Source organism: Homo sapiens, chromosome 9 (genome assembly GCF_000001405.40).
Source record: "Homo sapiens chromosome 9, GRCh38.p14 Primary Assembly".
Classification (NCBI taxonomy): Eukaryota; Metazoa; Chordata; class Mammalia; order Primates; family Hominidae; genus Homo; species Homo sapiens.
In genome coordinates, this window is record NC_000009.12 from 79,453,284 (window position 1) to 79,480,621 (window position 27,338).

A 27,338-nucleotide genomic window follows, 5' to 3' on the forward strand; every position below is an offset into this window, starting at 1 on the left:
GCTCTGTTTTTTTAGATTCTGTATTCTACAACCTTGTTGAATTTGTTTATTAGTTATAATTGTCTTTTAGTGGATTCCTTAGGATATACAAGATCATATCATTTGCAAATATAGTTTTACTTATTGCTTTGTAATCTGAATGCTTTTTATTAACTACTTTTTCCAATACAGACCTTAACACATTAGTCATAATTATTTTAAATTACACGTGTGATAACTTTAACTCCTGTGACATATCTAAGTGTGGTTCTGATGCTTGCTTTGCCTCTTCAGGATGTGTTTTTGCTTGCTTTTTGGCATGCCTTGTGATATTTTGTTGAAAGCCAGATATGTAGTATCATGTAATAGGAATGGAGGTAAATAAGCCATTAGTGTGATGATTCATTTTAATCTGACTAGGAATTAGGCTGTCTTTGATATTAATTATAACTGTAGATGTCATAGTCTTTAAATTCCTCTTGTGTGCTTGTTTTTATCTCCCACCTTGACTTTGGGCTTCCCTAAATACTCCTCCTCAGAGAGAGTCTGTGTCTTGTAGCTCTTTCCACCGTAATCCACGGTTGTTATACTGAAGGCCTGGTGGTATTGTGGTCAAGTGAGAAGAAAGGTTGTGTTCTATAGTTTTATATTTAAATCTAGGTCTTTTACTGTGCCTCTTTCTCTGTTCTATGACCTGAAGTGTTTTCTACGGTGGTATCGTTTTATGTTGTTGTTTTGTTTTGTTTTGTTTTGCCTGATTTTGAAGAGACAGGATGTCTAGAAAGGACTAGAGAGGGAAGAAATTCCTTCTCCCAGCTAGAATAAAGCTCTGGTAAAGATTTTTTCCCTGGATAGTAAACTTTTGTTATGAAGAATCCTCTGGGTGTATTTCACAATGATTAGTCTTTCCTTCTCTTACCAGAGACACAAGGCGAATCATTCTTGGATCTTCACCATGAGAACCTGCTGGATTTCCTGAAAGAAAAACTTGCCAAAATGCGGGGTCCTCCGAGATGGTGGCCCCCAGGAGTTTCTCATTCTCACATTAGTCCACACTCCACCTGCAGTAATTTGTTGAAATTATCAGTTAGATGTTTTACCAGTTTACGGCTACAGATGATTCTGTTCCAGGTAAGCAAGTGTCAGCTGTGACTCTCAAACATTTGTCTTTCTCTGCAGATTTCAGAGTAGTAGTTTGCCCGGCAACTTCAGTTCTCAATTGGGTCAGTTTGTTCAACTATTTCTTCTTGTAAGAATGGGAGGGATGACTTCCAAGCTCTTTACATATCAGAGCTAAAACCAGAAGGTGCACTATTAATATTCTGATAAATATGATTTATGTTTTTATGTGCATATTTTACAAATTTTACCCATTGTTTTTACAACTAAGATCAAAATATGTAATCCTTTATTGATCTGCTTTTTTCCCATTTAACAAAATATTGTGAACATTTTTCCATATATACCTACTTATCTGTGCTACAAATTTTAATGATTGCTTGCATTCCACATGTGGCTTGTTAAGAAAAAATATACAGAACGTAAATATGGCAAAAAGCTGAGCCCTTTCTATGTTAAATCTGGCAAAAGCCCCCCATAAGATTGTCTATAAAGATAAAATGTATTCAACTTACCTTTTACTATTTAATAAAGATTCCAGAATTAGTAAAGCTAAATGTTAACCTGTGGAATTTTTTCTGAGATGTAAATATTTTCTTTCCAAGGGGAACATAACTCCAAAGTTTAGGGTTTATTGCCCTTTAGGATATAAGCTGGTTTTATAACTGAACCAACATTATTATACTAATATTCATTTATTAAATTGTTAATGAATACTCCTCAAATGCTCTTTGAGCCAGTCTTATCATCTTACAGATTTCCTCATTAATTAATAAGTAGAATAAAATCTTTAATATGCGGTCATGTATTTGCATGAGATTCTTAATTTTACATTTCTGAAAATTACTTTTTTACCATGGCTTACCAAGATTTATGCAACTGTTCCTTAATTTGGAGGGCATTAGGTTTTCCTTATGTTTGGTATTAGAAATAGTATTGTGATGAACAAAATTTAAAAAAAATATACAATTTTTTAACTTTAACTTTTATTTTAAGTTTAGGGGTACACGTGCAGGTTAGCTATATAGGTAAACTTGTGTCATGGGAGTTTGTTGTACAGGTTATTTCATCACCCAGGTATTAAGCCTAGTACCTATTAGTTATTTTTCCTGATCCTCTCCCTCCACCCACCTTCCATCCTCCAATAGGCCCCAGTGTGTGTTGTTCCCTTCTATGTGTCCATGTGTTCTCATCATTTAGCTCCCACTTATAAGTAAGAACATGTGGTATTTGTTTTTCTGTTCCTGCCTTGGTTTGCTAAGGATAATGACCTCCAGCTCCATCCATGCTCCTGCAAAGAACATGATCTCATTCTTTTTGTGGCTTCATAGTATTCCATGGAGGTGTATGTACCACACAAAATATGTATAATTTTCCTCATCTCTGATAGGAATCTTCCTTCTTTAAGATAGATTCCTAGAAGTATTATTTCTGAATCAAAAAAGTCTTAATTTTTTAAATCATGTTGCTTAATTTTTAAAATCAGCTGCTTAATTTTTTAAATCACTCACTAATGTGAGTGCAGATAGAGTGTGGACTAATGGTAGAATCCTCTTGCCCTTCAAGAGGATGTACTAATTAATCCTCTCAATCACAGGGGATTATAATAATGCCCTAACACTTAACTCCACCCTCCCAACAATAAACATTTTATGTATTTTAAACATTTGAACATTTTGTAGACATAATGTCTAGCTGTTTGTTTTACATTTTTTTTTTTTACTAAATTGATTACCACTGAGGTACATATTCTTCGTATATTCTGGAGTTTTTGCCCACCTATTTGTATCTCTTATTTGAGAATTGCAGATTTATTGTTCATTACCCATTTTCCTGTTAGATACTTGTCTTTGATTCATTGATTCATAAAACTCTTTATATATCCTCCGACATCTGGTCGCAAAAGTTCGTCATAGTGTGCCTATTGTTTCTTAATTTCATTTATGGTATGTTTTGGGCATACAGAAGTTTTTATATTTTATGTAGTCAAAATTATTTTCTACTTTCTTTTCTTTTGTATTTCAAATATTTACTAATATAAGATTGTCAATACTGCATTTTCTAATTGTCTAGTAATTCCATTTTCTGCATTAACTCTCTAATATGTCTGCAACTTATTTTGGCATAACATGCAATGTAGATGTATATATATAAAATAGATATATTTTTTCAAATTGTATGTATCTATACATCTACAATGTACAGATACAAATTTTTTCAAACTGTTAACCAATTTCCTAAGAATTGATATTAAATATCCTTTATTTCTTTTCTGATATGAAATAGTGACTTTTAAAGACACAATATTCTTATGTATAAATGTTGTGTCTAATATATATTCTGCTCTCCAAAGCATGTCCATTCTTGCACCAATACCCACTGTTTTAACTACGTAGTACTTTTTAACAATTGCAGTGCAATTCTTTTCTTGTATATCTAATTTTTTTATCTTCTTGCCTACACATTTCTCTACATAAACTTTAAAATTTGACAATTTTTTATTTTAATTGAAATTACGGTCTTAAAATTAACTGGGAACAGTTGGTGACTTGGGAAATATTGAACATTTCTCTTCAGGAACATAAAATGTTCCTTTTATTAGACTCATCTTTAATATTCATCAGACACATTTTTTGGTTGTCTTCATTAATGGTTCCACATAGTTTTTCTTGGATTTGTTACTAAGTGGTTTATATTTTTGTTGTTTTGAAAGCCTAGAATATAACAATTTTTACATATTCCATAGTCATTTCCAAACTAAATGTGTTTTCTTTGGTTACAAGTCCAAGATTATATATGTGTGTATTAAGTCAGTCTTTTGAGTTCTCAAATTCTCTCTATCTTATTTCTTTTATCTACATGACACGGCTCAAAGATAATTTCACAACAATTTTAGGCCTGATATTTATAGTCATATGTGTCTCCTCGTTGCTCCAAGGCAGGTATTATATCAGGATAGGTCTTAATCGAAGCTCAGAACCCTCGTTGTACTTTATAATCATCTGAGTAGCTTTTTTAAAGTATGAATTCCTGATTGCACATCCCAGAATGATACAAAAAGAACCTCTGCAAGTGAGGGCCTGGACTTTAGTATTTTTAAAAAGGTTTCACAAATGATTCTAAGGAACCAGAGTTTAAAATCACTATCCTAAATAATTATCATAATAATATAAAATTTACTAAATAAATCTACAGCCAATCACATATCACATTAACAAGCATATAAAATGCTTTCTGGATGCTCAAAATATTTGCCTACTAAGCCACCATCAAGGTAGCCTGTGTGTCTGAAAGGAAAACAGTGAGCTTCGGAAATCTGAGTTCTAATTATGAATCTCTAACAAGCTCTACCTTCAACTTGAATCGCTTTTTTGTTATATTCCTCTCCTCGTTTTCATTTGTAGTGTCGGTGGGATGAACTAAAGGATCACTAGGAGAAACTCTAAGCGCAACCACTTAAAAACATTTCTACGTCACTGATATATGAAAGCAACTCAAAAAACAAACAAAACAAATACAAATAGGGATCACATGAAGGTATGCAAGTAGTAAAAGTCTTGCTTAGCCTGACAGTGAAGTTTAATATGGAGTTTCAAACTCAGATGCCTTCAGGAGCCAAAAAGTTAACATCAATTTACAAAGCAGCCAGGTCTCAGAGATACATATGGTCCCCAACTTATGATGATTCGACTCAGGAGTTTGCAACTTAACACAGTACAAAAGTGATACACATTCAGTAAATTGTACTTTGTGAACACCCATACAACCATTCTGTTTTTCACTTTCAGTACAGTATTTAATAAATTACATGAGATATTCAACATTTTATTATAAGGTAGGCTTTGTGTTAGGTGATTTTGCCCAATTGTAGGTAAACGTAAGTGTCCTGAGCATGGTGTTTTGTTTGTTTGTTTGTTTTGAGATGGAGTTTTGCCCTTGCTGCCCAGGCCGGAGTAGTGCAATGGCACAATCTCAGCTCACTGCAACCTCCACCTCCCGGGTTCAAGGGATTCTCCTGCCTCAGCCTCCTGAGTAGCTGGGATTACAGGTGCCTGCCACCACACCAGCTAATTTTTTGTATTTTTAGTAGAGACAGGGTTTCACCACATTGGCCAGGCTGGTTGCCAACTCCTGACGTCAGGTGATCCACCTGCCTCAGCTTCCCAAAGTGCTGGGATTACAGGTGTAAGCCACCGTGCCCAGCCCTGAGCATGATTAAGGTAGGCTAGGCTCAGCTGTGATGTTCGGTATGTTAGGCATATTAAATGCATTTTTTACTTAATGATATCTCCAACTTACAATGGGTTTATTGAAACATAACCCCGTTGTACATAGAAGAAGATCTGCATGGGGTTTATTGTCAACTTAAGATTTATGCAATGTCTAAAGGTATTCCAATTCAATTATGTAGACCAGTAGTCTCCAGAGCAGGGTGCGTTTAACCCAGCAGCTACACCAAATCACCCATTGGGCTGCACTAAAATAATAAGTTTTATTAATATTTAGTATGTGGATAGACAGTAATGAATATAAAAATTTATAAATTAGGGTGCCTGTATTTAAGAAGGATACTCAAAACTTTTTCACTCATTTGATACATGATTTTAATAGAATATTTGAATGCCAATGATATGAATCAGTTGCTTATCCTTAAAGAAGTTACTTTAACTTCCCTGAACTCCAAATTCAATTGTAAAATGGGACTAATAACAAAACTTTCCTTGTATGACTATGGTGAGATTTAAATGAGAAAATGCATACAGCTCTCAATCCATGTTAGATATTATTATAACCAATTAGTATCCAAATTAGCTCTCCTATGCCCTGCTGCAACCATTTCTCTTCTGGCCTTCCTAATTCAAACCCTTCTGCTATATTAAGTCTGTTAACACAATTATATATCTAGATCACTGCCTAAACGTGTCACCATCCTGCTTAAAACACACCCTTGTTCATGCACACATGTGCACACCTACACATACAGATCAGTAGTTGGTTTGCCACTGCCTATATAGAGAGCAAACTCAATAGCAAACCCAGCAGTCAAGACCATTCACAAACTGGCCCTTCTCAACTTTTCAGACTATTGTGTCAGCACTCACCGATACAAACTCATGGTTACAACGGCCCACTGGCACCAGACTCTGCTTTCTTCAATGTTCCAAGCATTTTGTTTGTCTCTTTGGTGAACTCCTTTCCTTTGCATTCCCCTCCCCACCTGACCAACAAAGTCCCACTATTTATGCTTGTTGGTTATTTAATATTCCCACAGTATATCCAGTAGTAATAGGAGTAGAAAAATTAGAATGTTTTTAAGATGGCTTGGAAGACATCAAAACTTGCCAATTATGACAAGCCAAATGAGGAGTTGCCATGAGACTTAAGCTGAGGATTCACCAAGCTTAAAACTATCCAGGTTGATATGATTACTGTCCAGTGGAAGCTACACCTGGAAGCAAGAGAAAGACAGGGCATGGGAAAAAGAACAAAGCAGGGAAGAGGAAATACTATTTCTATCAAAAAGAAACAATGGAGACTACTTACTGCGTAGGCTAGATGTTTGATGATCTGTAAGTCATTCAGTGATTCTTAGTCTTACCTCCTCTGTCACATTGAGGAAGCTAAAATTGAAAATATATGAGATTCAGATTTTAATATTCTGTTATACTCTCTACAAAGAGATAAAAAGTATACGTTTATGTTGTTGTTCACGTTTAACCTACTCTGTGCATGTGTATTTAATCCTGAAATCAAAAGGAGGATGTTTACATCCTTTATACTTTGGACATAGAAACTCTCTAAACTGACCTAAATAAAACAAGTGCCATGTAAATATCTGAGTAACAGAAAGCAATTATCCTCTCACGGCGAAGAGAGAACCACAATAAATAGATATTCCAGATGGGAAGTTATCCTGACTCAATCTTCACCTCTTCTTTATTACCCAGGAGGACTAAGGTTGCCATTCCAATTAGATTCCTTTATTGTAAAGATATACAAGTGTTTTTTTGGTTTACATAGTTTGTGTGTTACTCCTTAAGAATCATTTGAATATTATATTTCTATAAACTAAATTATTTGAAATAAACCAGAAGCTCTCACTCTGCAAAGAAAACTTGTGATGGATTTCTTTGTGAAATAAGGAAACTTTTGGTATGATAGATACTCAGGGGTGTCTGAATATCGGGCTTTTTAAAAGTTTAAAACATCTAGAAATGCATGTATAAATATAAATGATAACATAAATTGTACATATAAATATAAATGTATATAAGGCAGAACAGTTGAAATGAAAGTGGTCATCTAAATCTGCATGTACTGTCCAATATGGTAGCCACTAGCCACACGTGGCTATTGAGACTTGAAATATGGCTGGCCCAAACTGAGATGGATTATTAAGTGAAACACGTACACGGTATCTTGAAAACTTAATACTAAGAAAGGTAAAATACCTTATTAATAGTTTTATATTAATTATATCTTGAAATAAGATTTTTATATATTGGATTAATAAAATATATTATTAAAATTAATTTCACTGTTTTATTATTTAATGTGGCTACTAGAAAAATTAAAATGACATATATGGCTTACATTGCATTTTTATGGACAATGATAACCTAAAGGCCTTCAATATGGAGTTCTACCTAGAGAAATGCATGCACGAAACCTCTACACCTGTATTCATCACAGATACAGAAAGACAGGAATTATGGATTGTGAGCAACTTATTTTCCTATTTAAGTAGAACTTGTTTTTTCTATTCCAAACTGAACATCTAATTTGGAATGGATTCCCCTGATGACATTTACCACAAAATTTTATATGTAGATAAGATAAAAATATTGTCAGTAATGTTGCAAGCCTTTCTTCATTAAAAGATTTTCTAGCTGCACGCAACATGAGCTTTATATAGCCTGCTTAGAAAAGAAAGTACTTGAGTAGCAGAATGTACAACACAAACAAACAAAATGCAAATATTGGAAGCACAGAAGTGACTTCAGTTATCAGGCAATGCTTTGCTGCATCTGAAGTCAAAGATACGCATGCTACTTTAATTAGTGATTGAACTAAAAGTAGGAGTTTTAATCTGGTTTAAAGAGTGATCTTCTTTCATTAAAAAATAAAAAGACAAAAAACAACTTTTCCTTGAAAAGGTCTGAGCCTATTGCTTAAAAAATGATCTGGCTTGACTTAGACATATAAATTTTTCAAGGACATTAATATTCTTTGGTATAACACTTTTGAAGTGGGACAGCTATACTAATACATGGGGCTAAAATTTTTAAATCCCCATGAGACTTTTCTCAAAAAGGTTTAGAGCTGTAACTAATTAGAACTAAAACATGCCTATGGAGATTCAGGTTCTCAAAAAAACTGTCCTGATAGTGAAAGCATTTTGGAAGACAAAACTTTGTTTTTCTCTTTGCCTGTTGTTTCCTGTAATGACTGGTAATAAAACAGAAGGAAACACATTTTAGCCCTAAGACACATCTGGAAATAATATTTCAAATAATCGTCCTATGGGTCTACCAGAATGGATTTTAAGCACCCTGGTGACCTACTTCCCTTACTTCTGGAAACTCTCTAGATGAAATCAGAAGATTATTGACAGTACTGTGATGTTCTTGGGGCCCGAGGAAAATAAATATGCATTCCTCTCTTTTAAAACTCACCCATGTTCATAGCAATACTATTCACAATAGTCAAGAGGCAGAAGCAGCCCACGTGTCCACCAATGGATAAATGGATAAATTAAATGTGGTGTGTACCTGCAAAAACATTATTCAGCCTTAAAAAAATGGAAATTGTGACGCATGCTACAACTTACATCAACCTTGAAGACATTATGCTAAGTAAAATAAGCCAATTACAAAAAGACAAATACTATATGATTCCACTTGTATGAAGTATCAAGACTAGTCAAACTAATAGAAAAAGGAAGCAGAAAGGTGGTTGCCAGGGAATGAGGAGACAGGGGAATGGGGAGTTACTGTTTAATGGATGTAAAGTTTCAGTTTTGCAAGATGGAAAAGTTCTGAAGATTGGTTGCATAACAATGTGAATATACTTAACACTACTGAACCATATGATTTGAAATGGTTAAAATGGCCAATTTCATGTTATGTGTTTTTGACTACAATTTTACAATTTTTTAAATAAAAAAAACTTCAGCAGTAGTATCTTCTTTCTTTAATTCGACTATTTGACTGATTGGGTCAAGAATACTTACGCTGTTCAGAAGACAGCAAAAATCCACTTGTGCAAAAAAGTTCATAGGGTATTCAGTGTTGCAACTCAAGGGCCTTAGAGACATCTAGCCACTGTCGTACATGCAGGAGTGAGGCGCAGGGAGGCAAAGTGGCTTTAACCTAAGACCATGTAGTTAATTTGCAGTTCAACCAGTGCAAAAAGGTAAATTCCTTCACATCACAATACACTGACTTCTTACATATCTCAGTGAACCAGTAAATTCTCTTGAAAAACGTATTGGTATGAAACTTTTTTAAAAAATGAAAAAACAACTTATGTGTTAATCATTGCTGAGGTCTTATTTTCATCAATTGATTGCTTGTTCCAAAGTTCTTTAGCAAATGTGAACAGAATGAAATGTAGAAATGAGGTATCATTAGTATACGACTTCTCTGAATGTCTAGATTTCAGCAATTCATTTTTTCTGGTTTTGGTCTTTAACACTAATATGCATGGCTACTGAATCATTTGTTCAGAAAGCTGCAAAATTGTGAGAAGGGCTATGGTGGGATTCATGTGAATTGCATGTCTAAAAGGACAGTTTTCTTAAGATGTGTGATTAACCATAATTACTTATGCAGAATACCTTTCTAAAGAGATTGAGGCAAAATACAAAGAAATCAATAATGGGAGAAAGCATTCACTATTAGAGCTTCCTCTTTAGTTTTCAGAATATTTAGATGATGCCTTCTCATTCTAAAACTTCTAATCCATCTCTACTGCATTCTGCACCCAGCCTTCCAGAAAGCCAGGCTTGCCTAGCCACTGACAAACATAACTCTTTCATACTTCCTTCTCTTTCATTGAGAAGAACAACAAAAATTCCCAATGTTCACAAGCAATGTTGACCACAATGCTCACATTCTCTTTCTATTCCAGATGAGTTGTGACTTATAAGAATATGCTCAAAGTGGCTTTTGCTTTTAATTCGGTCAGTCTCTTGAGTGCAACATCTCAGTAATATTATTATTGTTATTGCTCAAAGGTATAGTTACAACTGTTTATAACTGCTGCTCCCCACCTATCAATCAAAAGCTACCTGAGTGTGCTACAGTGAACTCAGAGGAGGGCACCATGGAATATTTCAAATCATTGAGGGGACACTGCAGTACTTGGTTGCAGGAAACGTGGATGCCACACAAACTACTAGCTCCAGGGAGTTGGTAGTTTCAACATTAACTAACACTACATTTACTAGATGACACCATATTTTTGTGTAGCTGGGTATTCAGAGGTTGTTGTAATATAAATCAAGTACTATGCAAAATTTAATGTAGACCAAGAAATGAGGGTAGCATTGCCTAGTTTGAGTCCAAGGTTTGAGAAGTTATGCAGTATGCAACAGATATGCATATCCTATTAGTAAATAGCTGTGGTTATTTAATAATAAAATAACAATAGTATTTTTTTCTATATGTATGTATTATTTTTTCACATGGCTACTAAAGTTGTTAGAATGTAAATATACATTGACTTGTTTGGACGTAAGCATTTAATAGACAATTGTTAGGTATATATTTTGCCCCGGGGTCACCATGAACTGAAAAAGTTTGGGAACTTCTGCTCTAAAAGGTCCTAGCATTGATATTGTGGTAATTTGAAATGTTTGAGTCTCTGCAAATAACTTCTATGGAATACCTGCTTGTTTTATACCAGATTATTGATGCCCCAACATATCTTATTATTTAAAAAGTTGGACAACAGCAGGGAATGAAAATCTACTTAGAAATACCAGTGCTAAATGATTAAATGGCCTCCAACCTAAACTTGAATAGATTCCTTGTTTACATGATGGTTGTAAAGCTTGTTAAAGAATTGATCCCTTTTTTGAAGCCATATACTGAAGAGCTCTTATTCTATTTTAAAGCAAAGTACAAGAACCCTCTAGCCTTAGCATTCCTGACCTTGCCAAAATGCATCAGCAAGTGAACATCAATGGTGCCCCCCACAATCATCTCTCAGTGAGGTGTGTTTCCAAGCAAGCACCTTCAGGTAAAAATTTTCATTACTTTACACGTTTTCTTGGAAACCAGGTTTCCAGGATCCCAAGTATGATTGCAAGGTCATGATGAAACCCATGGGAAGAGGTCATGTACCGGTTTTATGCATCACTATCAAAGCCAAAGGAAGTGATTTTGGACTTTCTGGTGTAATATTATTAATCAGTTTCTTGATTATGTAACACATTCAAATGCTTGAAATGCCCCTAATTTGATTTAAAATTTCCCCTATTACAATCACAGTTCTGTATCAGTTGGTTGCAATACATGTTCTATAGGTAGTGATCAATTTTGATCATGTTTATCTTTTGACTTTCTAATCTAACTTTACTCACCTTGTCTTTTGCTAAAAGTGACCTCAAATATATTGAGAAAAAGTAGAGTAATAAATTCTGGTAAAAAAATTATGGTGAAGCTTATTTGGACTTTCTTGAAGTAATTTAGCAATTTTGCCAACAACATTAATTTCACGTCATTCAACATGTTCCTACATGTTCAGTAATAGTATCTAGTAGCTGAACTATGGGACAACTTTTGGAGACCTGTCTTAATTATCTCCATCAACAATTAGCTAATGATCAACAGACAAATAAGAATGTATCCTAGATGTTCCTTTGCCTGTAGCTAGTCTTCATTCATTATAGCCTAAGAGGTTTTCCTTGTTAAAAGCCATGTGGCTGGAACAGATGGTCTGCATGTGTTATCTCCATCTTTATCAGCATTGAGGACATTTCTGTTGGGGTGACTTGACAGTAGCAGAGTCTTCAGGAGTCTTTACTCTACAGCCATCTGGCATTGAGTTTTCAGCTAGAACCCCTGAGGTTTCATGACTATGTCAACATGAAGGAAGTAATAAGTCTCTGGCCACTGCAGTTGCTGAAGTGAGTGACCAGAAACTTCTATGCCTACTAATGTAATGCAGAGATAATATTTTTTTTTTTTTGAGACAGAGTCTTGCTTTGTTACCCAGGATGGAATGCAGTGGCATGATCTTGACTCACTGCAATTTCCACCTCCGGATTCAACCAATTCTCCTGTCTCAGCCTCCTGGGTAGCTGGGATTACAGGTGCATGCCACCATGCCCAGCTAATTTTTGTATTTTTAGTAGAGACGAGGTTTCACCATATTGGTCAGGCTGGTCTCAAACTCCTGACCTCGGGTGATCCACCTGCCTCAGCCTTCCAAAGTGGGATTACAGGCGTGAGCCAGAGATAATCTTGAAATTGGTGCTGTCTCCTTAATAGTCAAAATATTATAAGATTAAACTGAGAGCTTGTTTTATGTCAATAGTTAACATCTAAACCCAAAAGACCTAAGTGCAAATGTAGCCCTTGAACTTCATAGCAGTGAAAGCTTGAGTAAACTACAAATACCCTCGACCTCAGTTTCATTGCATGTAAAATAGGAATAATATAAACACTTAAATCACAGAATGATTGAGAGACTAAATTCAAAAGTGATATTCAAATGAGTTATAATTACCTGAGGGGAAAAGTAAGTAATCTGTTTGATTTTAGCATTTTATTGTGTTTAAGTTTCTGTTAGTATTTGAATGATTGTGAGTTACTAGTATAATGGTAACAGCTCAAGAACATTTTTGCAGTAGTAAAATCTTCTGTGGAAGGCAGACTTGTTTGCTACTTCCTTAACGCAACAGGCAAGTATGCATTTCCTTAAAAGTACCTTGGTAATATGGAACAAAAAGTTACTTTTTAGAGTACCTCAAATACTTCATACTTCTCATGAAGCTTTCAGTCATGACAGTGCTATCATAACTTAACCTTCTTTTCTTCTAACCCAAAAAATTTGACTTCTGGAAAAATCTCTTCTCAATTTAAATTCCAATTTTTACTTCTATCTTTTTCTCTCAAAAGCTGGGAGATTTTATTTTTTTTTAGCTTTGTGTTTCCTTAGTTGCTCTTAATTTGGTTTCATGCGTAAAACATTCTGAAAATCACTTTCTTGATGAACATTAGTAAACATAAACAAAGAGGGAAACATCCTGAATACTCAAAATTTCCTATTTCCACTGCCTTCATCTTAGACACACCACCCAGGGACAGATAGTTGCCTTATACAATTTCGGTAGAAAATGTCCAATCCTTATTATTTTAATTGACTCAAGATTGACTCAGTCTGAGGCCTGCTTTGGATGCCACAGCAAACCATTCCGTTCCTGTCAGGATCTGGAAGAAAGGGGGTTTTTCCTGCCTGTCGGTTAATCCAAATCACTTGAATTACATTCTTCTCTTATTGCTGACTCTGCCTGGCAGATGCAAAGACATTGATAAGGACTGATTTCCTGCAATTGAATGAAATGAAGATGCTTCTGTACTCTTAACATCAGCTTGGGCCCACTTTAGCTTTTGATTTAGTTTTGAGGAATGGTCCCTCTTTTACCATCACTGTGTCGGAGTTTATTTTATTTTAAAATTTCTATCATGAAGAATTTCGTAATAGCACTTTTATTGGCCAAATACTAAATAATTATTTAAGACAAGCCTTACATACGGAAAACAAGGATGTGTAGGGTTTGGGGCTTTTCTTCCCCCCCGGATGCCCAAGCAGTTTGAGATACTGCTCATGTGACCAACTTGTACCAGTTTGCTTGGGACTATCTCTGTTTTAGCACCGAAAGACCAGCAACCCAAGAAACCCCTCAGTCGTGGGCAAACTGGGAGAGTTGGTCATCCTAACACCACTGAACAGTGCAATTGATTTGGGTGATATTCTCCTTTGAGATCGTAACTTTCCCTGAAACTGTTTCTACACAAAGCTCCTTTCATAGACATGAGCTCTGTATTCTGTAAGTTCAGCTTGTCTAATAGTGACTTGAGGGCCGGGCGTAGTGGCTCACGCCTGTAATCCCAGCACTTTGGGAGGCCGAGACGGGCGGCTCATGAGGTCAGGAGATAGAGACCATCCTGGTTAACACGGTGAAACCCCGTCTCTACTAAAAATACAAACAATTAGCTGGGCGTGGTGGCAGGAGCCTGTAGTCCCAGCTACGCGGGAGGCTGAGGCAGGAGAATGGTGTGAACCCGGGAGGCGGAGCTTGCAGTGACCCAAGATCGCGCCACTGCACTCCAGCCTGGGCGACAGAGCGAGACTCCGTCTCAAAAAGAAGAAAAAGAAAGAAAAAAAAGAATAGTGACTTGAGGTCAGAGAACTCATTTTATAGATGAAGTGCCCCCTTCATTTACAAAATGCTCTCTTTTTTCTAATTCTAAGCATCCTATTTTCATCTCTTTCCTTGTTGTATTCATTTATAAGCTTTGCTTGAAATCTTTCTAACTTAAGAAGTTTTAACTTAAGAAGTCAGTTCAAAGAGGAATAATAAATAATGCTATTTAAAATAATAACTACGGATTTCTCTCATAGTGGAGTTATGGATGATTTTATTTTCTTCTTGCCTAAATCACACTGTGTGTGTATTTTTAACCAAAATATCTCCTAAAATCCAGTTATAATTAGATTTTAAATAATTTAAATTAAATTGAATGTATAATGGTCACCAAAATCCATCTATAGAACCTCATCATTTCTGGTTAGCACTGCCCATGGGAACACACACAGGAAATTACCTAGATCTTCTGTCCAGAAAGACATCATGCCAGAAAAAAAAAAAGACACTGGTCAGGGTCCAAGAAATAAAGTAGAAAAGTTGGAGAATTGTGAAGCAAGTCAACCAAGTGACAAGCTGCCAGGATCAGTTGAAGAATGAATGAGATTCAGGAATAAGATGACCAGAGGCAAAGTAGATTTTTGATGAATAAAAGAGAATATCAGGAAAATAAGTATCAGAATGTTTTATTGGACCAGGGAAATTTTCATTCATTTATTTGTTCATTTATTCACTGAAAAATATTTAGTGCATGCTGTCTATGTGCCAGCATTTATATTATTAACCAAAGGTATAAGAAAATCATTGCCCTTTGGGAACCTATATTCTAGTGTGGTAGTGACAATATCTACCAATATTAATATAATAAGTATATAGTATTTTTTAGAGTGGAAAGTGTTCTGAGTAAAAACAGAGTAGGCTTAGAGGCATCGAGAATATAGATAGGGTGAGTAGAAGAAGGATTGTAATATTAAAATGCAGAGCAGTGAAAGATTCAAGTAGTAAAAGTTCTTAGAAGGGACCAACATTACCTGTAGAAAACAGTGAATGAAAACAATGACTTTGTAAAAATGTGCCGGGATTCAGAACGCTGTTTGACATCTGAACTGCGAGACTTGGTAGTATGAAAAAGGGACAATGTGTTAATGTCAACTGGATCCCGCCCAGTTTGGGCCTCTTTACCTTCAAATTTGTCTGTTCCTATTTGCCTTTACTACAGATGAGATGAGTGAGGCAGAGGTGCTAATAGTTTCTAAAGTATTATGGTTGGGAACTACAGAAAAGTTATTTTGTGTGGGCCACCATTATCCAGCAAATATTTCCTATTGTGATCGGGGGTGAGATACAACCCATTAATGCTTCCTAGTGGTGCAAATAGATAAGACAGAGTTTTCTATTGGTATCCTTTTCTCCGATACCAAATGCTGCTGAAAAATATTTTTAGTATTTTAACTAATGATTGACTTTATTGTGTATGTGACTACATTTATGTGTTATAGAAGTGAATGATAGACTTTAAAAGATTTTGAACTACGTGGATAAATGAAGCCATTAAGCCAGTCATAACAGGAAAGCCCTTTGGGGAGGAAATGTTATATTGCCAGTAACCCAACATCCTGTAATGTACAATATTTAAAGTTTCCTTTTTTAAAATTCACTCTTTGACTGAGTAAAACTCAGTTCTGCAAGAAGTGCAGAAAAGATAAGTGTCAATGGATGAATGAATCAATGAAAACAGAGGTGAATGTAATAATAACTACAAATCCTCATGCACTATGAAAACTTAGTCATATATCTACTGTTGCTTTTTATTGAGAAAACTAAGTCTCCCAGAGGAGAAACATTATATAAATTGTGCTGTTTAAAAATTGCTGTGTTCATTATGAGGAGCTTAATTATGGTCATCACTTACCAAAAAGAAAATCAAAGTCTTGTCGAAGAATTCATAATAATGAATGTTTCTCATTAAAAATTAATGAACAAATGGCTTATTCTGAAGGTATGGAGGCTGTGGGAATATCATAATTTTCCTTTCTTGTTTAAAAGAATTAATATTCATGCAAATTAGATCCAAATTACTACAGTTTAGGTGGTTACTTAGTGCTATAGAATATAGATTTGTTTTTACCATGGAAGCCAATTATATTTGTCAACACAGGCTAGATTATGTTATGATAAACAAACCTTGAAATCTCAGTGGTTTAATAAAACAAAGCTTTCTTGCTCATGCAAAAAGCAGTGTAAGACAGAATGCCCCTTCAAAGCAGCTCTCCTCTATATGGGGACTCCACAAGCTGTGCTGCTTTCATTTTATACCTTGGCCATTTCAACTTTCAGGATCACTATGGAACAAAGAGAGGTAGAAGGTTGTGCATCAGCTCTTGAATGCTTCAGCCTGAAGTAACACACATCACTTCTGTTCGCAGCCCAGTGCCACCTGGTTTCAACGAACATAGCTGGGATATGTGAGCGAGCAGATGGATATTCAGTGAATAATAATGTGCCTACAACAGCAGGATCAAATCCAAAAGAAAAGTATTGGTGAAAGACATATAACCTACTAGGTAGGTACTGCTAGGATTGTTTGCATAACATTGGAAGAAAGAAAAGAGAATACTTCAACACACAACCAAAATCAGCTCTGTGCCTTGAAACAATAAAGTAATTCACGAATCCATCAATTAGTAATATAATTGCCACTGGATCCATGTGACTGTAAAGGTACTGCAATAATTGTTCACAGCCAGAGAGGGATCAAACCATCAGTGCAAAAGACATTTCTCTGAGGAAATCCATCTCTCTAAGGAAGAGGGAAGGAGTTGGTTCCTTGAGTGTGGGGCTATAAATATCAGAGGCAAAGACCCATTCTTCAGATGGATGTACTATTCTGTTAAAGTCTGAGGAATGCTCTCTCTTCCCCAGATTAATAAGGAAGAGAGTGCCTTGACTAGAAAGAAAAAGCTCTCCATTCTGAAGTCTTGTTTCAGAATGCACACAATTTAACTTCACTTTCTTCATCCCTAGGCTAAAATAGCAAATAAATGAAGGACTGGGTTAATTAAATGCATATTTTAACAGCATTTATCTGGCATTGATTGGCTGAGGCCACTTACAGTAAAGCGTGGAATAGTTAATACAAGTGTTGGCCGTCTCCTAAAGGAGGTGACCTCAAGGTTACATAATTGTAGCAGTAATTTATTTAGCTTAAAATGAATGTGTTCTCAATTAGGTTGGTAGGCATTATAATAACACAAGAGGGATTTATATTTGCTTATGTCTAGGCTATGAGGGTTTCGTTATTGGATTTGTTTGCCTATATTTAGTCCTCCAATTCATGATTCCTCCCAGTTAAGAGCAGGAAGTTTGTTCATGCTGATTAATAGGGGCCCAGTCCTAATGTTGCAGATAGTTACCTAATCCCGCCAGAGGCAGCAAGGGAGCAGACACATAGCACAGATGCCAGAAGACAGGATTATCTGGTGGGTTCTGCTCATGGGAACTGTTCCTCCCCCAATACAGATCCATCAGTGCCTTAAATTTGCCCCATAAATTGGTACTTTATATGAAAATATTCTACCAATGGGGCACTTCTGAGTTTATCACAGGATTTATCATGCTGGAATTAATATTTTTTATCTATATCGCAATTCTTTTAATCTAGTGGTCAAAAAAATGGTAATTCATGATGTTCTTTGGTTGAATTTGAACTCCTGACTTCTTTTAGATAGGAGAACTAAGATGCCTTTACCATTCCTTGGTCAGACGTAGTAAAGACATTTTTAAAAATAAACATGTGAATGGGTGATTCTTTACCCACCCTATCTACCTGGACCTCTGTGAATATTTGCTTATTTGCACACATGCTAAGTGTGCAATTAGTCATTCTGTATGAACAAATGTAATTATTATTATTATTTTCATTTATTTACAAGCTTGTCAGAGATGGAGAGCATTAGTCAATCACAAGGGCCAACAGAGCCTGCACTGGAAGTCCAGGGCTCAGCCAGTAGATGTCTCTGTTAGACTCACTACAGTGAAATGTTCATGCCCCCTTGGGAGGATGCCAGCCCTTTTGGGCTCAGTGTAGCCTGTTTGCTACATCTATATTTTTGTCCAAAATTTTAAAACTATAAAAAGAAAATCTGGCACTAGTTGTACCATACTTGTGTTCCAGTTTATACTGTCAACTTCAGAGCCTGGCTTCTATTTAGATCACCCAGTGAGATTCAAGGGCTCACTCATTCTCCTGATGGAGACAGGGTTACTCTCCCCTTTACCTCCCCCTGCATAAAATATAACCCTATGTGCAACCTCCCTTCTCCAGGGAAACTGAAGCTAACACTCACCTCACTGTCTGCTGAGAGGCCATCTGCTTTGCTATGCAGGCTTTCACCACAACAAATTTATGGTCTTTGGGAATAATAGGGAGCTTTTTTGTGTGTGTGATCTCTTATGCAACAGATTCAAGTAAGTGATCAAATCTGTGAAATGTGCTGGAGATGAAAACTGTCACCAGAGCAAGAAGGAAGGTGTATAGATGTGTTCTCGAAAGCAAAGAGTACTCGCTACCAACTCATTTTTGTTTGATGTACTTCAGTGGCTTTGCAACCCACAGAAGCAGTTTCTTCAGGTATCTGTCAGAAGAGGATATGAGGCCTTTATATTTAAAGGCTACATAACCAAGTCACAATTACAAATCTTCTAATCTTAGGAAACACTGTCCAGTGGAAGGAAAATTGGCCCAGACATTAGGAGACCTGTGTTCTACTGCCAATTCCTTCTTTCATTCTCTGTGTGATTTTGAGTTACTTAACTTCTATGATCCTGTTTAGTTCTCTGTGATAGGAGATAATGAGACTTACTTCTCAGATTGTCCTGAGGCTTAAATATCATAATGTATATATAATCCTCCTGAATCATAATAAGTTACTATTTATTCCTTTTCTCCTCCTTCTTCTTTTCTCATTGATCAAATCAACAGGAAGGCTAAGATGCATTTTTTAAAAAAATTGATAAGGGACTTAAGTAGCTAAAATAAAGCTTTGTGATTATTAAAGCATATCAGAGATTTTTATTTACTGGGCTCTATAACACCCTCTTCATTCCTTTGACCACAGGACACGTGTTCAGAGTCAGAAGAAACAATGCAGGTCCTATTCTGTCAGATTGTTCCCATATTCTTTGGTTTGAAAGCTATTGATTAAGCTATGTTTTCTTAGCTATCACGTTGTGAGAGACGAAGAAGGACATTTGCACCAATAAATATAAACTATAAGAAGCAAACTATGGATAACTTCTCTAAGAGCCATCTTTCACCATTGGTTTGTGTGTGGGTTTATAGAGAATCTGCTTTCCTCTTGGTCCTCTGCTGATGGGAAGAAGTCTCTCAGGTTCCTACTGTCAGGGCATCACTCAATAGCCTGGGGAGAACATCTCTAGAAGAACATCTCAATGCTAACTGATAAATTGCATGCTAGATAGGAGTTGAACAATGAGAATACATGGACACGGGGAGGGAATCATCACACACCGGGGCCTTTCCGGGGGGTGGGGGGATAAGGGGAGGGAGAGCATTAGGACAAATACCTAATGCATGCAGGGCTTAAAGCCTAGATGACGGGTTGATAGGTGCAGCAAACCACCATGGCACATGTATACCTATGTAAAAAACCTGCACATTCTGCACATGTATCCCAGAACTTAAAGTAAAATTAAAAAATAATAATACAATAAAATAACTTTAAAGAGAATCCAAATGAGGGAATTCTGCATGCTGAAAATAATGACAGGAGTGAGTGGGTTGGAGGATATTCAAAAAAGAAACTAATATTGATAAAAGGAAAAAAAGCTGGACAATAAATGGAGGAAGAGAGGATGACATTTTAGGTACTGAGAATAAGAAGAGCAAAGGAAGACAGACTTTCTGGAGGAAGTGGAAAAGTTCTCCTCTGCTTCACTGAAAGAGAGTATACTGAAGTTTTGAGTGTATTCACACCAAACAGATGTGAAGAGAAAATGCAAATCCTTTACTTCCTAAAGCTGCTATGGCCATCATGAGTAGCAAGGGGAGACTACTCCTGTTTAAAACCCAGTGCAATCCAATATTTCTCTAGGTTTGACTCAAGCACCTTGAGGTTGCTGGTCAGTCTTACAGAATGTGCTTCCTTTTCTTCATTCTCTCTTTTACTGGCCTCTGATGCAGGGTACCTTTCCTCTACCAGAGGACTTTTGATTTTAATCCAGCCTCCCCTTTCTCTTAAAGGACAAACCAAACTTGTCAGTCTGTCCAATAAAGCTCTGAAGATAGAGAGGCAGCAAACAGATATGACCCTAGCCGTCTACTGCCTCAGTTTCCTGTTGCCCTTTCTCAAATCACTAGGCTGGGAAAAGGTCTTGCCTGAGGTGCTCACATTTTTTTTCCTTTACAAAAGGACATCCATACTCCCTGTTTTCACAAAAATATATGTGTCCATAAAATGTGGTGGGAGAAAACTGACTTACCCATCAAAGGATATAAATTGAGAGACTGTTCAAAAATATTATATATAGTTCAAAGCCATGCAAATAAAACAGAGTTCTTATATGTGTGACTTCGAAACACTTTAAAAAATTCCTTTTTCAGTACTGCAAGGGCCAAGGTCATGTTTGCATTTTGTTCATATTTCAAACAATCAGCCTATAGTCAGGATACTTCAATTTTCATTGTTTTAAGGTTTTGGCTCCAGAACAATAGACGGGAATGTGTCCGGAGTTGATTCCTTCCCATGGGTTTGTGGTCTTGCTGACTTCAAGAATGGAGCCACGGACCTTCAGGGTGAGTGTTACAGCTCTTAAAGATGGCAAGGACCCAAAGAGTGAGCAGCAGCAAGATTTATTGTGAAGAGCGAAAGAACACAGCGTCCACAACGTGGAAGGGGACCTGAGCGGTTCCTGCTGCTGGCTGAGGTGGCCAGCTTTTATTCTGTTATTTGTCCCCGCCCATGTCCGGCTGATTGGTCCATTTTACAGAGTGCTGATTGGTCCATTTTACAGGGTGCTGATTCGTCCATTTTACAAACCTCTAGCTAGCTGCAGAGCACTGATTGGCGCATTTTTACAGAGCACTGATTGGTGCATTTTACAAACCTCTTGTAAGACAGAAAAGTTCTCCAGGTCCCCACTCGACCCAGGAAGTCCAGCTGGCTTCACCTCTCAGGAACAGGCTCATATTCTAACGAAACATATATGTCTCTTCAGCAGTGATGAAATTGCCATATAAAATGCACACCTGACAATTAGAATAGCACCAAACATTTGAATCCATTTGATGCTAAGGCTTTTTCTCAATATCCAATTTGTAATGCTTATGAGTCAGGTCAAATGGAAACATTGCACAAAGATCATGACTATAACCACAGCCACTTGGAAATTAATAACTTTTTTTAAAAAAAGAAATTTCTGGAAAGGAAAACCTTTAGAAAAGATGTGGCTCTGAAGCATTTATCCTCTAAGTCTGTAATTGCCCTGATCAATGGAGTTTAGCTCCATGAAAGTGAAGGCTTTCCCCAGAAGATGATGGAGACCGGCCTTGTCCTGCAGCTGTTTCATAAAGGCCTAGAATAAATTTCAATTTCAATAACTTCATTGGCATGACAGGGGAGACTTGTTTTGTGAAGGTCAATATAACTGAAGCCCTGTCTAAGAATTGGTCTCTCCCTGTCCATATTTGGACTATGTAACAGACAGCTAAGGCCGCAGCTGGCACTTTTTTCCCTACCTTCTTACCCTCTACCCTTTCTAATTTTTCTACAAGGAGTGTGTTTGGGAAAGGTAAGCGATTTCAGAAAATATGCTACTTTTAAATGTCTCCAGTTGTTGGACTTTTGCCAAATGTTGTGGTCATTGAGCTTGAAACTGATAAATCTGCAGAGAGCTTGTGAATTGACCTTTTGGAAAAACAAGCTAGGATATCTGTAAACTGTTTCTTTTCTGGCACGGCAAGTGGGAATATTTCTACATTTGTGACCACTGCCCATTTGAAGACCTTAAATGAATGGTCAAGTCAGGATTGGAACCTGCTATGGTGAAAAAAAAAAGGTCAAGAAATATATATACACCGGCCAGGTGCAGTGGCTCACACCTTAATCCTAACCCTTTGGGAGGTTGAGGCAGGCAGATTGCTTGAGCCCAGAGGTCAAGACCAGCCTGGATAACATGGCGAAACCCTGTCTCTACAAAAAAATAGAAAAAAGCCAACATAATAGGACACACTTGTGGTCCCAGCTATTCGGCAAGCAGAAGTGGAAGGATCACTTGAGCCCGGGAGGTGGAGGTTACAGTGAGCCAAGATCACACCACTGCACTCCAGCTTGGGTGACAAAGCCATACCCTGTCTCAAAAAAAAAAATATATATATATATATGTGTGTGTATATATATGTATGTGTGTGTGTGTATATATATATACTGCTCATCTACAGTGTGTTCATGAAAGTCTGGAAACATAGGCGAATTACATATAATGCCATCAAAGACATCTCCAATCTGTAAGACGAATAAATAATATGAAATAATATTAATATATCCTTGCTAATGTCAGCAATTCTTATAATATTAATAATATTAACATAGATAATATCATTTTCACCTATGTTTACGGACTTTCTGGGCACCCCGCACAATATGACCCCAAATGTAATTTTTAACATGTGTATATATGTTATATATTTAAAACACCAGAAAAATATACAGCAAAATTTCAACAGTGGTTTTCTCTGTGAGGTGAACTTATGTAGCATTTTAATTTTCTTCTTTACTTATCTGATTTTTCCAGTGTTTCTAATATCAGCATGTGTTACTTTTGTATTGAGAAAAAATTAAAAATAAAAAACAACAGAATGCAACAGAATAAATTGTGTGTCCACACCATTACTGTACAATGCACTGGTAGGTAAACTATACAATAGACCTGTTTAGATACTTGGAATAATGGTTGTGAGACCCACACTTTGAAGATACATGGCATGTTTTAAGAATTTAGAGAGGAAAGAAGCGACAGGAAAAGACGAGTAGCAAGAAATATCAGAAGGTCCAAATGTCTGTCTCCTAAGGCATTTATAAGAACCTCTGTGCAATCATTTTCTCTTCATGGGAAAGGAAAGAATGTGATAGAGTGGTTTCTTCATCTTTGATTTCTTCTGTTTTCTTTGACTATATCACCAAAAGCCTTCTGGAAACACACTTAAAGATCCATATATATTTAAATTAAATAGAATATGCTCTTGAGACATTACCAGAAAGAGTCACATATAGATAAATCATAGGCTTGTGCTAGGCATTTTTAAATATAAAAGTGGTTTTAATGTGTGTGATAAAATAACAGAAACAAACTATTGGTTAGGTTTATGAGGATTAACAGAAGACAATATGCTTGTGCTAGTCTGCAACCAGTTCCAGGAGAGTTATTGTGTAATGCGAATGTGTCTATGTAGAATTATTACTATAATCTACAGCAGTGGTTGGACCCAAGTTCCCCCACAATAACACAGATTGAATTATGAAATCTAATAACTTTGGAGAGAGCTTTGTCCTGAAACTGAATGTGTCCGGTGGTTTTTATGTCTCTCAGACCTCTTATAGATTGTTTTCTCTGCCACAATTTCTATAGCCTTATAAAACTTCTCATATGTTTAACCTGTATGCACGAAACCCATGAGATGAAAGTCCAATACTGCCGAGGTAGCAATTGCTTTCCCTGTAAGGAAGACCACATGTTCCCATAAACTTTAAAGGCAGAGCATAATTTTACTTTTCTCTCATGGAATATTTCTAATACTTAAGTGTATACAACATGACCCAAGCATATTTGAGGTATATTCAAAAGCTGTCCAAGGACAAAAGTGAAAATATTCAGGAATGCAAACAGTTCTGTGTATTCATGAAGGGCTGGCCATTCCATCACAGAACACTGACTTTATGTCTCATTGGCATATGTTTCTCTTGCTTTTGAGAAAATGACTTGTAGGTTATTGTAAGGAAAGAGTTTCTATTCTGTAGATGTTGCCACTAGCAGATGAAGACCTAAGCCCTCCCCAACCATCTTCCCCAAAATAACTACTGTACCACAGCAGCACCACACCGTCCTGTAGTCCTGTACTGTACAAGACACCACACTGTCTTCACCAAACCACGTCTGAATAGAAGAACTCCACAGAGCAGTTTGATTGAGATGACCATGTTGCTTGCCATTTCGGTACATTTTTAATAAAAATTCTTTCACCTTGATCAATCCATGCTCTTCAATTTAGAACTGAGACACATTATGATACAGTATTAACACTTGAAATCATCTTATAACTGCTTGCTTTCATATTTGGCATCACTATTGTACCACCTTAGAAACTGCTTCTATTGACCTTTAGATTAAAAATATGTTGAATTATCATGATTGACACTTTTAAAATGACTCATTCTTGCCAAACACAGCATAACAACTTTTTAACATTCCCTTTTCTTTACAACTGCCACAACTTTCATTATGTGAAATATGGCTGTATTATACACCACCTCTCATTGCCTAACATGATTTTTTTTCAGAGTTCAGGAAGATTTACATTTGGAGCTAAATGTTTCAGTGATTGCTCTGTTGGGTTTCATTATACCAGTGTAGTTAATCAAAGCAAGTCTGGCCTTGCTACCATGATTCACTGTATGGTTTTTTGAACTTAATCATTTACACAGAATGAATATACACATTATCACCAGGGCTGGATTTCTTTAACAGCCTGCATGACACGGTACTGTAATGCCTTTGTCAACTGCTAGTTTTCCCAGGGACTCTGCAGTTTGCTGGGGGTTTTGATAAGACATTTCACTGATGGGCTTTCGGTTAGAAAAAGGCAAGTGGGAAACCCCTAGGTGGAGCTGCAGAGAGCAGACGAAAGGCCCACTGACTTGTGTATCACCAAGTGGGGCTAACGGGGAATCCTTTCATTTGTACAGAGTGTTTCTTTTCATAGTGTGTGTGGTCTTCACAATCATAATTAACAAGTAACTTTTCTTCACTCTCATTCCTAATCCCATCATAAATTATTGGCTGTTGGCATCTGGGCAGGGTTTGGCAGACCTTGAATTTTAAGTCAGCCTGAGAGAATTACAGGGATTGTTGTCTCTAAACTGAAGAAGCTAATTGTATAAGCATTAACACATGTGAACCAGGCCTACCAAGCCTAATTTCTGAGCAGCCAGAAACGATGCTCCTATGGACACCAGATTCCTTAGCAAAAAGCAGACTTGCATTTGACCAGAACCAGTGGAGAGCCTGTTCCAGGCCCATGGAATCCAATGTCAATTTTTCAGGAATTCTATGAGCTGGTTCTTAAACGCCACCATTATTTAAAATCAAAATATATAACCTTTTAATTAAATAAATTATATTTTTAAAAAGATGGTAAATACTCAAAACTCATCACTTCCTAAATATTCTACCCCGTCATGCAATTTTTTACACCCTTGGTTATTCGTGTCTATCATATCTGGATGGGGGAAATGCTATGGAATTTCACAACTCTGCATTCAGTGTTGTCATGTTGGTAGACTGAAATCAGCCACAATGGGAGTATTTGTATCATGGAAATAACAAATGCTACAAACCAAGGCTTCATTTGTTGCTTTGCCTCTGCCTTGTGTGTAAGGGAAGTACTATTTAATTTTACCTACCAGAACACTAAGTCTCAGAAAAGTTCAGTAAATGATTTTGGCCCTAGGATTCCACTGCAGGGTTTTCTGACTTTGCAAATCCATTATCTTAAGTCTTCTGTTCTATACCTCCCTTTAGCGGGGTTTTCCTGCCACTGTACTATATACACTCATAAAAACTCTCAGTGGCATTAACTGCTGTTTGGTTGGTGTATTCATTGTATGTCTTGGGTAAGGTATAACAAGTATGTTTAAATTGCATATGCGTTTTTTTTCCAAAGAACCAGTTATACATTTACCAACATTTCATTATCCAGGGTTCAAGCCTTGATTGAAACAAATCTACCCCCAGAACATACTGAAAAGTACTTTCTGGAAATAAATATATTTCTGTTCATTAAAAAATCCAATTACTAGAATTTACAAGTTATTAAACGTCTCATTGCTTTTCTTCAACCACTCTTTCAGACTCGGCATCACTACCCCTAACTTTGCTTTCCGGCATTTCTCAAAATGTTCCCATTTGGTTTCAACATTTAAGCAACATGAAGGCTATGGAATCAGAAATGTGAAAAGGAGGCAGTTATACAGACATGCAAAAATGCACCAGCCCGAGTGCACAGGCTTAAGGGTATGTGCACTTACCCTTTTTTGATTTGAAAGAATCAGGTATTGGACTACCTGAGCCTGTCTTCTTTGCATGCCATTCTGATTTGCTTTCCATGGAGAAAACGACCCGTCTATGGGAAACTGGGGTAATTTTTCAATCAAATACTGCATTGCTGATATAGGATGAAGGAAATGGGTGGCATGGTTGCTGAGAGACAGACTGCAAGTCTCATAAAATTATATTGGGCCTACCCACTTCTGTTTCAGATTTCCGTAGCATTCTTTGTGAGGATAGTCACAAAAGAAGTACTAAGTTGCTGTGTGTGTGTGTGTGTGTGTGTGTGTGTGTGTGTGTGTGTGTGTGTTTATCTTACCAGCTTTGTCTGATATTTAAATTTTGTTCGGGTGAAAGAATAAAAAGTACACATGCTCTATGAGTGGAACCTCTCTAATGGAATATTTTATCCCCAGCCCCATATGCAAAGCTCTTTAAATGGTGATTCAGAAATCTGACCTGACACATTTCAGTCTTTCTGTTCATCATTGGTACCATACGCAGCAAGAATTACCTTCAGCTT

At 36.6% G+C, this 27,338-nt stretch overlaps 1 long non-coding RNA gene across 1 annotated transcript, besides 1 other annotated feature; it reads right to left on the reverse strand.

The window, feature by feature from the left end:
- Positions 1-1,180: 1,180 nt before the first annotated feature.
- Positions 1,181-26,879, reverse strand: LOC124902328 (uncharacterized). The gene is made up of 3 exons (XR_007061902.1): positions 26,797-26,879; positions 6,643-6,719; positions 1,181-1,272 (listed from the first exon to the last, which is right to left on the reverse strand). It is a non-coding gene; the product is annotated as an uncharacterized LOC124902328 (long non-coding RNA).
- Positions 25,379-25,428: a silencer, noted in NCBI's record as "silent region_19968". NCBI's record gives its function as "represses an Ori minimal core promoter by ATAC-STARR-seq in GM12878 lymphoblastoid cells {active_cell/tissue: GM12878}" and the evidence as "EXISTENCE:reporter gene assay evidence [ECO:0000049][PMID:35858748]".
- Positions 26,880-27,338: the final 459 nt, after the last annotated feature.